Genomic DNA, 15,504 nt, shown 5'->3' on the forward strand with positions numbered 1-15,504 from the left:
GTACACTGCTATTTATCAAAGCAGCAAAATAGATAAGCTCTTGTCCCTCAGCTGCCCATGGTGTTCTATACATTTGTATTGTGGGTGGTCGTTTATGAATGTCTCCACATTTAACTGTAAGCTCATTCATGGAATGGAGCATATTTAACTTATCTTGTTATCCTCGGTATTTAGCGTATTAGTTGCTCAATTATTCGCCAATATAAATGAAAATCTGAGAATGATAACCAGCGGAAGATCTAAGAGGATTTATCCATTAAAAGGCTTTTATTTGCTCATTTTTATTCATTCATTCATTTCTGTATCTGTTCCACAAAGCTATGTGAACCCAGTGTGTAAAGGTGTGTACACCTGGCACTATTGAAATGTGAAGATAAACACAATGAACACGGATCCCAAGATGCTTAAAATCCCACTAGAAACAGAGAAATGAGAACTAAAGTTTATTGAACATTGACAATGTGCCAGGCACCGTGCTAGGAACTTAACATCAATTTTCTTGTATAATTGCCCATCAGGATGGGTTATCCACATCAGGAAACTGAATATCCAGGAAGGGAAATGTATTTTTTGAAAGCACATAATTAGAAGTTAGCAGAGCAGAGATTCTATTTTATCTATGGCCAACTCCATAACCTCTTTTCTTCCTACTACATCACACCAGGGCCTAAGAATTCTAATTATCCCTACATAATTCTGACATTGGAACCATGAAGTTCTCACGCGAGATTCCATGCCATTCCTTCACCTGCAAAGGATGCGAATGCAAGGGCCGACGATGCCCGCAGGGGAAGGAAGGAAGCCGGTCTCCTCTGGACTGAAGCCAGGGCAGGCTCAGACAGCTTTGGAGCCAAGAGACGGAGAGGCTCCGCTTCTGGGAGCACAGGATTTTGACAGGAATTGTGGAAAATACACAGGTAGGATGCTTTCAATAAAGGCTGATAGAAATGAAGGAAGGAAGCGGGGACGGAGGGGAGAAAGGGGAGGAGGGAAGAAGGGAGGAGGGAAGAAGGGGGAGACGGGCAACTTATGTTGCTTAATTCTGATTCATAAAATCTGTCTAAGCTGTGTGTCTTCTTTCTCGTTATTCATTGCGTTGACCTTCCCCACGGCCACGTGGGGAATATTTAGGAACACAGATGTTGGAGTCAGACTTGCCCGGGTTCAAATATCAGCTCCAGCTCTCAGGCAGCTTGGCTAAGCAACTAAACACCTCTCCACTCCCGTTTCCTTCTCTTGGAAGTGGAGGCCACAGTAGTCACACGCGGTAGATACTCTAAGGGCTGTGGCGAAGGGCAAATGGTTCTCCGCAGCATGTGTGACACGTGAAGTGCTCGAATGCCTGAGTCCTGGCAGTCCTACCCGCCCGGCTGCGGGGCTGCCCACGGCCTTGCGCTTCGTGCTCTGGTTGGGTGACTCCCTTCCGCACGGCTGCCCTGGGTCCCCAGCCCCAAGGGACACTTCCTATGACCCCCCGCTTGTTGTAAAGGCCGGGGCCTTCGGCCTCCCACCGCTTGACCACCAAGCCGGCGCTGTCCGTGAGATCTCCCAGGCATGCGGTCTCATCTCAGCCTGAAAGTGCGGGGAATTTCCAGATGCTGCCTGAGTGACGGTTATTCAGCAGACGAGCCCTCTGGGGTGAAGTCCCGCGTGGAGGGGGTTTCCGGGAGCGCAATGCTCGCTGGCTGCCTGGAACCAAGGGTGATGCGGCCCCCCTTCCACACAGAGCAGGAAGAAGAGGAAGGCTGGGGCCAGCCCAACGTCGGGGTCACTGTGCCAGGCACCCCCTCCAGGTCCTGGCGGTGTCGATCAGGACACCACCAATGCGTTCTTGCAGACAAAATGCACCTATGCTGTGGGAGGAAGAGCAAGCGGTTCGCCCGCCGCGCATCAGTGCACCCGTGTCCCGGCGCGCAGACAGGTCCGGGGCACCTGCAGCTACTCCGGGGCACCTGCAGCTATTCCGGGGCACCTGCAGCTACTCCGGGGCACCTGCAGCTATTCCGGGGCACCTGCAGCTATCCCGGGGCGCCTGCAGCTACTCCGGGGCACCGCCATTTCCCGCCCCCATAAGCGCCTAGAGAGCCACGCCGCGCCCCGCTCACCCCTGCAGGCCCGCAGCCGCTCCCAAGGGCTGGCAGTGTCGCTCACAGGTGCACTTTGTTCATGCTGTCTGCCTCCACAGTTGCCGAAGTGAGTTCTGCACTAATGAGCTCAGCATGCGGGACAGCAGCGCCGGCCCTCACTCTCCAGGGACGCATGGAGCTCTGTCAAATGACCCGACAAACCTTTGCAGCGCAGAGGCTTCTAGAGGGACAGAGCAACCACCATGCCGCCGTCCGAGGAGCTGGCAAAGGCACGCGGCACCTGCAAGCCGGAGAAAATGGTGTCCTTCCTCCTGTGCTGGACTGAGCAGGGAAGGAGGTCGGGGCTGCGGGCGTTGTCCCTGGAGCTGCACCCTGAGCTCAGCTTCTAATTACTGCTAAGTGCATTTTCCTTCCACCAGTCACAGGTACCTTCCTGATACGTAGAGCCCATCGAATAGAAGGTGGTGTGACTTGGGATTCTAAAAAGGAGACTCGGGGTTAGAAGGGGTGCGTGGTGTCAAGAATGAACAAGAAACATGCTGGACTCAGGAAGCCGGCTGGCCGCAGTGAAATGGAGACTCTGGAGCACAGGCCGCGGGGCTGCAAGGCGCAACCTGAAGGCTTGCTCCGCTCTGGAAAGGCCCTGCTCCTCCTGGACGGTGTCTCTTCCCTTCCCGCCTCCCCTCGGAGGCTGCCTCCCCTCGGACAGGACCAGGAGCCCATCCACCACCCAGGGAGCAGTGCGGCTTTGTGCTTAGGCCTCCGGGGAAGTGAGCTGTTTCCTTGATGTCCTACAAAGAGGATTATTCACTTGGAAAAACAGAAGCTTGTCAAGCTGCCACAATCGCCAGGGAAGATTCCATCTCTCTCTGATGGAGATAAATGGAACGGGAGACGTGGGGCTGAAGAGCGGGGGCTGGCTGAAGGGAATGAGGTGAGAAACATCTTGGGTGGAGATGATATTAGTCACACATGTTAACCCTGCCTTAGGCTGGGAATCCAGAATTGAGAAATGAACTCCACCAAGATGGAAGGATAAGAGGAGATCCGTTCCAAACTCCCACTGGCCCCGCGGTGGGAAATCAACACTGTCCCACGTCCTAATCCCACTACCTACCTTCTGCCCCGCTAGAGTTGTCCACAATCAAAGCCATTTCTCCTTTTAACATGGACAGAGGGTGGTGATGTCTGCAATAGCTCTGTGCCCTAAAGCTGCTCAGAAGGGAATGCAGAGAAACCAGCGTGCTCTCTTGTTTTCACATGGGACTACATTCCCATAGGGCAGCTTAGTTACTTAGGTAAGATTCCCAGGACACTGCGCGAGGCCAGCCAGGCATGACAAGAAAGGGCAATACCCTGCCCCATGGAAGGACCGTTCAAGGGAGGGATTGGGCTGTCGAGTGGCTGGTGTGGATATCTGCACGTCATGATTTATCCAGGACTGAGGGAGGACAGCAAAGGCCCCGCGGCTACTGGAAACCCCATCATGTCGCTGAGCACTGGGCTCCACTTTGCTACTCATGGATGGAGACAGCGCTTCCTACACGTGCCGTAGGAGCTTCCTGGGCAGAACAGAACATGATCGTGGAAACGAGTCTTCGCCAAGGCAGCGCAGAGGGCCGAGGGGTGGGGCGCACTAGATGGCATTGTGGTGAGTTCTCTCTCTTTCAGTAGTTCCAGACGTGACCAAGCCTACCTTGTTTAGGATAAATTCTCCTTATGTGAGAAAATGGGATCCCCCCAGCAAAAGGCACACGGATTATGGGCTGGTCTCCTCTCTGCTTCTTTAATACTACTTAAAAGCAGTGCCTTTGGCTATTGCTATAATAGAGATTTCCATTAGAGCCATTTTCTCCTTTCAAGATGCTGTCGGGTTGGGGAGGTGCAGAGGCACAGTCTTTCCTATGCACGTGTGTTCTCGCACCTGCATGGAAAGCAACACCTCAAGCAGGTGAGCTGTGAAAGGAGGTATGGCAGGGCCAAAGCGCAGAAAGAAAAGGAATCCCCCTCCCACTGTGCGTGACCACGACCCCCAAAGGTCAGTGGGGCTCTGGGAAGCTGTATCCCAAGCCGAGCAAAAGAGGAGGCTCTCTCTATTTCTTTGCAGGGAGTGAAGAATTTCAGGTCACTTGTCTCTGTTGGTTTAGCATGGTACCCAAGAACCTACTCAGGCTGACCTCAAAGGTATACTCCAATCTCACCTCCACCCCGCTTTCTGCTGGCCACATCAAGCTCGCAGTGACCTAGCCCTGACGCTGCACAGCACATCTGTTTTCATGCACAGGTGCCTCTGCTAAGAGGGCCTCCCACTCCTACTCCTCCCGCTTCTCAGACTAGTCAGTGGTTATCATGCGGTAAGTCCCAGCTCCAACGTCCCCTTTTCTAAAATGTTGTTATCGATTTCCCTCAGTTATTCAGTGGCTACCTCTGTTTGTAAACAGCAGTCCTTTGTAAAGAGCAAGTACGACTATCAAATTTTAGTTCAGTCACTTAAGGGTATATTCCTACACGCATGCACATGTGCATGTACAAACCACCTATACTACCAGCTATTGCAGAATGGACCTTTACTAAATTCTAGCTGATGAAGTAGATATTAATATTTTCATTTCCCAGATAAAAGAGCCCACATGAAACAGTGCTAATACACATTAACAGAGCAGTAGTAGAGGTGGGAGCCCTGGTCTGATCTCTCTGACTTCAAATATTTCCTATTGTTCTAATTAGACTGGGAGCCCTTAAAAGACAGAAATTAATAGTTCAGGTCAGTGGAAAGCAAACAGACTCTGGACTTAGATCTGGTTGCAAATTTCAGTTCTTACAGTGATTGCGTGATTATGGAGAAATTACTTAGCCTCAGACTGGGCCTCAGTTTTTCCATCCGTAAAAAGGTAAAACAAACCAAACTACTCAGTTCACAATATTATTTTAAGCATCAAATGGAAGTTTGTATGTCATGTACTGAAAAATAAACAGAATGTGAGCTCCAGCCCTTCTTTTTATCTTTATTCTCCCAATTCTTAGAATACTGCCTGGCACTTAGTGAGAACTCTGAATTTTTTCAAAATGAATATATTTTTTAAAAAGCGGATTGGACCCTCTGACAGGTGAACACAGGTGGCAGAGAGCTTGTGGGGGGTGTGTGGTGAGGGGCCTGCTTAACCTTATTTATAGCAGGTGGAATTTATCAAATTGAGACTGATGCTGTCACTCCAACTCTTTAGTCACAACTTTTTCAAATATTTGATTTGGAAGATTTTCACATGATCTGACTTTTTCCTTTTCATCAACATGACTCTCCCCACTGCTGCCTCTCTCTCTATCTCTCTCTCTTTCACACACACACACACACACACACACACACACACACTTATATACCCATTCTGCCCCTGGGAACCACTGCTGTGCAATGCCGACCACCTCCAGATGTGCAGTCAGCAGAGTTACACAGGCCTGCACAGTCTCTTGGAGACCACACTGAGTCACACCAGGCAGCTGCTAGAAGTGCTTCAGAAAGAAAGTCACAATTTGTTGTCTTCATTTGGAATGCTATTACAGAATACCATAGGCTCGGTGACTTAAACAGCGAACTTACATTTCTCACAATTCTGGAGGCTGGAAGTCCAAGATCAAGGCACTGGCAGATGTGGTGTCTGACGAAGGACTGTTTCTGGTTTGCAGATAGTGGTTTTCTCATTATTATCCTCGCATGGCTGAGAGAAAAACCATCTTTCTCACATATCTCCTTATATAAGGTGCTAATCCCATCCATGAGAGCCCCACTGTCATGATCTAATCACCTCCCAAAGGTCCCACCTCCAAATACCATCCTGTTGAAGGTCAGGAGTTCAACACGGGAATAGGGAGGGACAGACATGCAGTCCATACCTCATGTATGGTAGGGTAAATGAATAGAGATCGATTCTTCCCCCAGAACATGAAGTCTGGGGACATAAAGGCATTAGTGTTGAGATATTCAAGGATGCCATCTGCTGTCTAAAGTCTGCTTTCCAGCTTCCTACCCTCAGTGTGAAGGCATTTGTGTTCATGCTAGTCACCTCTTGGTCATAAGATGGCTGCTGACAAAAAGAGAAAAGTGTAATCCTAGCAGTAACTGAGTTTTTCATGGGTTATGAAAAAGCTCTCTTGGAATCCAACTTCCACTTACAACCCAATGGCAAAAAAATAGGCCACATGGCCATCCACAGCTGCAAAGGATGCTGGAAATTAGGGAACATGGTTGGTCCTTGGGATGGGGCACCTGCTGCCCCAAACAATGGCTCCTCTTAGCAAGGAAGGAAGGAAAGATATTGCAGGCTACTGGCAATGTCTTCCACACCCCACGTTTTCTCTTCCTTTCATTTTACCTTTTAGTTAGAGAAGGCTGTTCCCTAAAGCACACAGGCTAATGGCCAGAGAAATATGTTACCACCTCCTTCCTCTTTTCCTTCTCAACAAATGTTTCACCGTACAAATTACTGGCAGGAGGCAGGGAAAAGTGTAAATCAGGTCACGAATACAAATCCTGCTGTGAGAGTCTGATGATCCCGTGAGCCCCGCCTGCCAGGTTTATTGAAGGCATGGGAGGTGAGTGGGTCACCGACGTGAGGCTGCATGACTTAGTGCCTTCAGCTGCGAGTGTCAGCAATTCTTTTCAGGGGATCAGGAAAAAGAAGGGAAGTATGGCCCGAACTAAAGCTGAACTCTTCACCCCTTCCCTATGGGGAAGAACAGAGCTCAATGTGTCTGGGAACATGATAAAAAGTGTCAAAACAAAGGCTGGAATTATACTGAGCTGGGGCTTGAAATTGGGAAGGAAGACAGCAGTTTTCTTCCTCTTCCCTTGATCTCCAAAACCATCCCTTCATGATGGGGAGAAGAAGGCGGAAGCCAAAGGGGTGGAAGGATGCAGAAATGTCACACTGAGGAATTAATCTCAAAAAAAAAGAATACCCAGGTCTCTACTTCTTAGCATTAGCAGCAACACATTTTGCTCTCTTGTTTGTAATATTTGGCTTCCACAGCAACTTAGTATTGAGATTACTTAGTCCTCAGAGCATTCACATGTAAGAGCTACCTATTTAAGAGATGAGTGTAAAACTATGATTCTGTCCAAGATACCACCCAGCCACACTTTGATGCCTAACACTCAGGAGGCACCAATAGAAGGCACAGAGGAGCAGGGAGGTGGACACCCAGCGGGACAACCCGAGCGTTCCCCCTTCACTCACCCCTCATGTCTTCTCCCCATCCAATCATCGAATGCACTTTCTTTTTTTTTGGAGATGGAGTCTCACTTTGTCACCAGGCTGGAGTGCAGTGGTGCGGTGTCTCGGTTCAATGCAACCTCTGACTCCCTGGTTCAAGTGATTCTCCTGCCTAAGCTTCCCAAGTAGCTAGGATTACAGGCATGTACCACGACACCCAGCTAACTTTTTTATTTCTAATACAGAGAGGGTTTCACCATGTTGGCTAGGATGGTCTCCATCTCCTGACCTCATGATCCACCTGCCTCAGCCTCCCAAAGTGCTGGGATTACAGGCGTGAGCCACCACACCCAGCCGGAATGCAGGAGTCAGGCTCTTCAGGTCGCTAAAGACATGGCTGCATGTTACTCTTCCCCCTGCTCCAACCGCCATCTCCTACAACCATCCTCAGCTCATCAAGGGAGACTGAGGGCAGAAATGGTTCTTCAATGACTCCACTGTGTAAATGGAATGGAAAAATGGTCCCAGCATCGGATCTGCATGTACTTTTGGCTCTTTGAAGATGGCACCACTTTCAACAGCTAGTGTAAAGACAGACAATTAAAATTTGACATGTTTACTCATTCAGTTTACCTTTGCCAAAAGCCACAGAGGCATAATCAGGGCCTTTCGAGTAAAGCAGTGCTTTGGAGAAGGGTGGCACAGTTAAGAGTGGTTCCAATTTAGCATCTAATAATAGCTCAATTTAGTCACAAATCCCATCTGTTTCTACTTGAGGAGTTTTACAGAAGTCAAAGACTAGTTATTTTCTTTTCCTTTTCTTTTAGCTTGTACGTTCTGGCCCTTCTTCCACCACACTCACAAACATCCACAGATAACTTGCTTCAGGGGGAGCAACCTCTGATCCCATTTAGCACCCCATTAGCCACTTCTCCAGTAGCAGCCCAGCATCTGAACACAAAGCAGAATGTTGGGTGCAATGTGGGCCTGTTTCCTGACTCAGCATGAGTCTTGGCAGTGTCTGCAAACTGGTCTCCCTGGCCAGCTACAAAGATGGGAAATTACATTCCTTGTTTCTTATCTCCTCCCAAAGGCTAGGTAAAAATTGATGCAAAGAACTTAGGCAGTCCTTGGAGGAATATGCCCTGCCAGGGCTGGTTATTATAATTTCTGTGGTGTTGCTGCAGGTAGGGAAGCAATGTGAAAAATCCTCACACTTTCACTCCCTTTGGTTCTCGTTAGTCCAATGTGAAAGCGAAAGGGAGGGGGAGAGGGAAAGGTAGAAGGAGGAAGAGGGGAGGAATATAGAGAAGGAAAAGGTGAGGTGGGGGGGGGAAGGAGAAGAACAGGGAGGAGAAGGGAGAGGGAGAGGAGGGAAGGCAGATGAAGAGAAAGAGGTGAGGGAGAGGGAGAGGGAGTATTTGTTTGTTAGATAAGGGTGTTGGGGGACCACAGCAGAGGAGAAGATGAGGGTGAGGCATTAAGACCAACCATTAAGGTCACAGTGTACCTAGCATTATAATGGTGTGAAAGGATCTGTTGCCAGACTACTTTGGTCCAAGGTAAGTGTGTCCTTATCCTCCCAAGCCTATGAGAGAATAAAAAAAGAACAGGTCCTTGGAGAGTTTACCAACCATCTTAAACAGTTTGAGGCAGACTATGAAGGGAAAACACATTTACACTACTATGAGAGCACCACAGATCTTCTTGCTGGACTTTTTATCTTTTTTATCTACATGTTCCCATAAATATCCTATTTCTATCAAAGCTAGTTATTTTATTCCCCTCACTTTTAAAAATCTAGAACAAGCTGATATTCATTAAGGAAACTCATTCTGAAAATAAGAAGGCATTAGTGAGGCCTCCACTTAGGATAGGAGCCATCTTTCTGGGATGAGGCACTTCCTACCCAGCATGGTATTCAGCCGGGTGCAGTAAAGGTCTATATCCAAACACTCAGGATTTTGCCCTGGATATTTGATTCCTCACTTGACTTCTCTGTGTCTGATAAACATAGCTATACAATTAAATGAATTTAAAACCGTTATAAGAAGATATTTTAAATTTTCAAAAGAATAATACTAAAAATCCAAGGCATTCTTCATGATAGGCAGAATGCCAGGAAATCCCATCTAGAAACATTCAAACCAACCAGATTTGGTGCAACCAAGTGTCGAGTAATTGGAAAAGCTAAGTGAACTCCAAGGGCATTAGTCTGCCCTCTTATTTCCAAGAAAAGAGAAAAACATGGGCCCTGGCTTAGCTTGTAACAAATGTAATAATTTGTTAAGCAATAACTTAAATGAATTATCATGTTATGCATAGAAATTTCTTGTCCTTGGAAAAAATACTTAGGATTAAATACAAATGAGAAAAGTATTACTAAACACTTAATATTAAGCCAATCATTAAATTCTTAGTAGGCAGTACTGCAATGAATATCATCCTCAAACTTGACAATGTAGAAAAGCTCCCCAAAAGAAATTTCCAAAAGCAAGAAAGGCCAAGTTATTAGCTTTATTGAGACATGCTGTAGAGAAGGAAAGCTTTTAAACAGGGTAAGAGTGGTAGCAGTAAATAATCTAATCAAAACGCAGAGCCAGTTGGCATATCTCTACTTTCTAACTACACACATTGTATTTCATCATGACATAAGATATTGTCACAAAGTACAGGAGTCATGAGCTGTGTGGAACAATACCATACATCATTCCACAACTCCATGCTGCACTTTCCAAATGGGCTTGAAAAGAATTCCCAACTCTGTACCATTCACCATACACACACACATACACACACACTCACACACATACCCACACACACCATTATCAATTTCTTAAGCTTTCTAGTATAGTAAATAAAACAACAATACAAGGTAAAGAATGTGCATTCACACTGACATGGTTGTATGGTATAGGTTGGCTGTTCCTTACTGGAAATGCTTGGGACCAGAAATGGTTTTAATTTTGGATTTTGGGGGATTTTGGAATATTTGCATATACCTAATGTTATAACTTGGGGGATGGAATTGAAGTCTGAATACAAAATTCATTTATGTTCCATATATACCTTTTACGCATAGCCTGAAGATAAATTTATACAATATTATAAATGATTTTGCACATGAAACAAAGTTTTGACTGCATTTTGACTGAGACTCATTACATCAGGTCAGGTATTAAATTTTTGACTTGTGGCATCATGTCAATGCTCAATAAGCTTGGATTTTTGGATTAGGAATGCTCAGACTATGTTAGGTAAGGAGCATTAAAGTTATTGAGAAGACCATAGTTAAGCACTGCCTTCAGTATTCACTAGCACTATGATCTCAGGCATACTGCAGTTGTGGAATAAATTAAAGAACATTGGCTTTAAAGCCCAAGTCTGGAGCTTAAATTGTTTATCAAGCAGCCACCCAAAAACTCTTAGATCTGATAAATAAATTCAGTAAAGTTGCAGTCTGTAAAATCAATATACAAAAATCAGCAGCATTTCTATACATCAATAATGAATGAGCCTAGATAGAAAAAAGGAAGGAAATCCCGTTTACAATAGCTCAAACAGAAAAAAAAAAAAAGGAAAAAAACCTAGGAATAAATTTAACCAAGAAGGTGAAAGATTTCTACCAGGAAAACTGCAAAACATTGCTGAAAAAAAAATTGAAAAGGACACAAATAAATGGAAAGACATTTCATCCTCATGGATCAGAAGAATTAATGTCATTAAAATGGCCATGGAAAAAATCAACTCAAGATGGTATAAATAACATAAGTATTAAGACCCCAAACTGTAAAACTACTAGAAGAAAATATATAGAGCACACTTCAGAACATTGGCCTAGGTAAAGATTTTGAGACTAAAACCTCAAATCACAGACAATAAAAATGAAAATACACCAATGGGACTATATTAAACTAAAAAGTTCTTCACAGCAAAGCAAATAACCAAAAGAATCAAGAGACAACCTTTTGAATGGAAGAGAATATTTGCAAACTATTCATTTGGCAAGGGACTAATATTCAGAATATACAAGAAACTCAAATGATTCAGCGGCAAAACAAACAAAATCCTGTTAAAAAGTGGACAAAGGACATGAATAGATATTTCTCAAAAGAAGACATACGAATGACCAACAGGTATGTGAAAAAATGCTCAACATCATTTATCATGAGATACAAATCACAACCACAATAAGATATTACCATTAGAATGGTTGTTGCTGAAAAAGACAAAAAATAACAGGTGCTGGTGAAGATGCAGAGTAAAGGAGGCTTTTGTACACTGTGGTGGGAATGCAAATTAGTACAACTTCTATGAAAAATAGTGTGGAGATTTCTTGAAAAATTAAAAAATATAACTACCTGAAATGCAGCTGACCTACTACTGGGTATTTATCCAAAGGAAAAGAAATCTGTATATCAAAGGAATACCTGCACTTGCATGTTTATTGCAGCACTATTTACAATAGCAAAGATAAGTAACATGGTTTAGCTCTGTGTCCCCACTCAAATCTCATCTTGAATTGTAATCCAAATTGTAATCCCCACGTGTTGAGGGAGGGAACTGATGGGAGGTGGTTGGATCATGGGGGCAGTTTCCCTCATGCTGTTCTTGTGAGAGTGAGTCAGTTCTCACCAGATCTGATGGTTTCATAAGTGGTAGTTTACCCTGCTCTCCTCTATCCTCTCTCCTGCCGCCTTGTGAAGAAGCTGCCTGCTTCCCCTTTGTCTTCTGCAATGATTGTAAGTTTCCTGAGGCCTCCACAGCCATGTGGAACTGGGAGTCAATTAACCTCTTTTGTTTATAGATTACCCAGTATCAGGTATTCTTTATGGCAGTGTGAAATAGACTAATACAATAATACTAATACAATGCTAATTACAGAAGTAATTCTATACGTACTGGAATACTATTTGGCCATTAAAAAGAATGAAATCATGTCATTTGCAGCAATGTGGATGGAACTGAAGATCGGCATATGAAGTGAAAGAAGACAGGCACAGAAAGACAAATATTGCATGTTGTTACTTACACGTGGGAGCTAAAAATGTTGATCTCATGGAGACAGAGAGTGGAATGATAGATACCAGAGGCTGAGAAGGGTGTGGGGGGAGGGATGAAGAGAGGTTGATTGATGGGTACAAAGATACATTTAGATGGAAGGAACAAGTTCTAATATTAATATTTGACAGCACAGTAGAGTGACTATGGTTAGCAACAATGCATTGTATATTTCAAAGTAGCTAGAAAAGAGGACTTGAAATGTTCCCAAAACATAGAAATGATTAATACTCAAAGCGATGGTCACCCTACATACCCTGACTTGATCATTACATATTTATGCACATAACAAAAACTCACATATACCCAATAAATTTGTAAAATATGATGTATCAATGAAAAAGTCACCATGTGTGTTCTTTGTTCAAGTTACTTAGTCTAATTTAGCTCAATTTTTTCATCTGAAAAATTGGTAGGGAGAAATAAAATTATATCTGTTCCCTGTTTTCTGAGGTTGTTGTGAGGTTGTAGTGAGGATTAAATGAGAAATGCATATGAAAGCTCTTGGAAAATCTTTGAGTTATACCAATATTTGTTGTTAATTTATTTAACTTCAATGAAGCTTACTCTTCTCATTTATCAAATGGGGATTAAAATAAATCGTTCTCCTGTCTCCTTACAGGATTTTCACAGGACTAAGCAAGCTAATGTATGTGGATGTGTTTGAGAAACAATAAAGCACTTCACAGGTAATTATCATTATATTAGGTTAACCTTGAGATTCCCAATATCATCCTACCAAGACTCACTGAGTTCCCTAAAAGCTAAATGCCCTTCATTTCTCATTTTGGTGGCCTTGTAGCAAGGAGCCCTTCTGACATATTAGCAATCCAGCAAATATTGCCATTCTCAGGTATCTCTTGCTTCCTCTTCCAATTTAAATAATTGTTTGCATAGATCTGCATAAGTTATACATTAGTTGTTACTTTACATAGGCATTTGAGTTGAAAATAATCAAGCTATTATTAACACTCATTCCTGGTTGTTGTTTTTCTTTCTGTATACCAAAATACAAAATACTCTTTTCTTTGAGGGAAAAGTACATAGTTCATAATAAGAAGTTTCAAAAAAAGAAAAGACAAAGAAAAAAATTAATACAGTGCAATATAGTCATGCTTCATTTCCCATTCCACAAGCTCTTACGTTATAAAAACTGCCTCTGCTACCATTAGTTGAACCCTCAATCCAAACACTCATTTCAATTTCAAAAATTAGAATATCCTTAATCTTGGCAGGGGAGGGGGAGATTACAAAAAAACTTTAACAAAAGTTCCTGTTCCTTATGAAAATAAAGTAAGTGGCCAGCCGCAGGGGCTCACACCTGTAATAGCAACACTTTGGGAGGCTGAGGCGGGCAGGCCATTTGAGACCAGGAGTTTGAGACCAGCCTGGGCAATGCGGTGAAACCCTGTCTCTACTAAAAAAGTTAATTACTTAATTAAAATATATATATATATATATATATATACACACACACACACAAAAATACAAAATTTAGCCAGGCGTTGTGGTACACTCCTGTAGTCTCAACTACTGGGGATGCTGAGGTGGGAGGATCACCTGAGCCTGGGAGGTGGAGGTTGCAGTGAGCTGTGATCACGCCACTGTACTCCAGCCTCAGTGGCAAAGACAGGCCCTGTCTCAGAAACATAAAAAAAAAGAAAAGAAAAAGAAAAAAACAAAGAAAATAAATTAAGTGACATCTGAAAGTACACCCAAACATCTTACCAAAAAAATAAGTAAGTAAAACTAAATAAACACTATTAAATGTTCGGTGAATGTGTATGTAACATTCTATAAGCTGCCTTTTCTCTTATGTTATGGTCATCTTTCCATGTCATATATAAACTCACTGTCATTGTTTTTAAAAAGCTTCATAGTTTTCCATCATATGCATGTATCATAATATGTTTAACCACTTATTTAAATTATTGCTAATTTTTTAGTGATATAAAAATGATGTGCAGATTACTTAAAAATTTAAATGTGTGTGTATTGTATGATCTAATCATTCTACTGCTAGGTATTTACCCAAAAGAAATGAAAAAAATGTCTATTAAAAACTTGTACACAGATGTTCATAGCAACTTTATCTGTAATAGCCGAAACCTGTAAACAACCCAATAATACATCAATAGGTGAGTGGACAGATAAATGGAGGTAACGTTCATATAGTGGAATAGAAAGGAATGAACACAATAACATTAATGAATCTTGAAATAATTATGTTCAATGAAAAAAAGCCAGACAAGAATGCCTAGGCTATGAGTCCATGTACATAAAAGTCTAGAAAATGCACTCTAGTGTCTGGAAATAGAATGTAGATTAGCGGCTGCCTGGGTGTGAAGGAATGGAGAGGGCAGAAGGCAGGAATCCCCAAGAGGCATGAGGAAACGTTTGGGAATAATGGATATCTTCACTATATTGGTTGTGATGATCATATATAACTTATCCAATTGTACAGTTTAAATACGTGTAGTCTATCGTGTGTCCATTATATCTCATATAAAGCTTGTTTAGAAATGGGAGGAAAATGCTGTGGGGAGCATTCTTGTCAACTGGTGAAATTTTCTCCTTAGAATGATTTTGCCTTTGGCACTGACTATTGTAATAGCTTCTCATATTAGGTTAGCCTTCAGATTCCTAATATCGTCCTACCCTGCTACTAATTTGACCTTCTTTCTGACTATTCCTTCAGTTGAATGCATCTTTCCTAAGGCACAGTTCCAATCAAAAGTTTTTATTTGCTCATTACCTACTGCATTTTTATTCATCTAATTCCCCATATGAACTCCTTATCTTGGCCTCCAAGACAATTAGTATTTGGCCTCAGTTCCCCTCCCTGAGCTCTTTCTCCCACTGCCCACTTCCATGCAGCCAAGGTACCATATGCACATTGGGTCGGCGGCAGCTGAGAGTGTCGCTGAGGCGTCACTTTATGTGTAAGACTCAATTTCTTCATCTGGAAGGTGGTATACTAATTATAATCTGACTAAGGAGTTAGTATGAAAGTGAATGATTTTTCAGGAAGAAATTTAAGCTGTTGGTAGACATCATATTTGTCTGGGTATCTCCTGCTCTCTCACTCCTGCAAAGCACGTGCTCTCTCCTTCTCCATCTTTACATATTCCAGTTCTGCTCCCCACCGC

The 15,504-nt window shown here is 43.5% G+C and overlaps 1 protein-coding gene and 1 long non-coding RNA gene across 4 annotated transcripts in view, besides 1 other annotated feature; both read right to left on the bottom strand.

Annotated features, from left to right (window-relative positions):
- OPCML (opioid binding protein/cell adhesion molecule like) overlaps positions 1-15,504 on the bottom strand; it is a 1,117,521-nt gene that overhangs the window by 944,646 nt on the left and 157,371 nt on the right. The gene's annotated exons all lie outside the window — the stretch shown is intronic.
- On the bottom strand, positions 431-6,454 carry OPCML-IT1 (OPCML intronic transcript 1). The gene is made up of 2 exons (NR_046790.1): positions 5,683-6,454; positions 431-2,566 (listed from the first exon to the last, which is right to left on the bottom strand). It is a non-coding gene; the product is annotated as an OPCML intronic transcript 1 (long non-coding RNA).
- Positions 1,195-1,695: an enhancer, noted in NCBI's record as "H3K27ac-H3K4me1 hESC enhancer chr11:133230716-133231216 (GRCh37/hg19 assembly coordinates)". NCBI's record gives its function as "activates a minimal SCP1, AML or CMV promoter by ChIP-STARR-seq in primed H9 embryonic stem cells {active_cell/tissue: H9 hESC(primed)}" and the evidence as "EXISTENCE:reporter gene assay evidence [ECO:0000049][PMID:30033119]".

The sequence above is a fragment of the Homo sapiens genome, chromosome 11 (assembly GCF_000001405.40).
Source record: "Homo sapiens chromosome 11, GRCh38.p14 Primary Assembly".
NCBI lineage: Eukaryota > Metazoa > Chordata > Mammalia > Primates > Hominidae > Homo > Homo sapiens.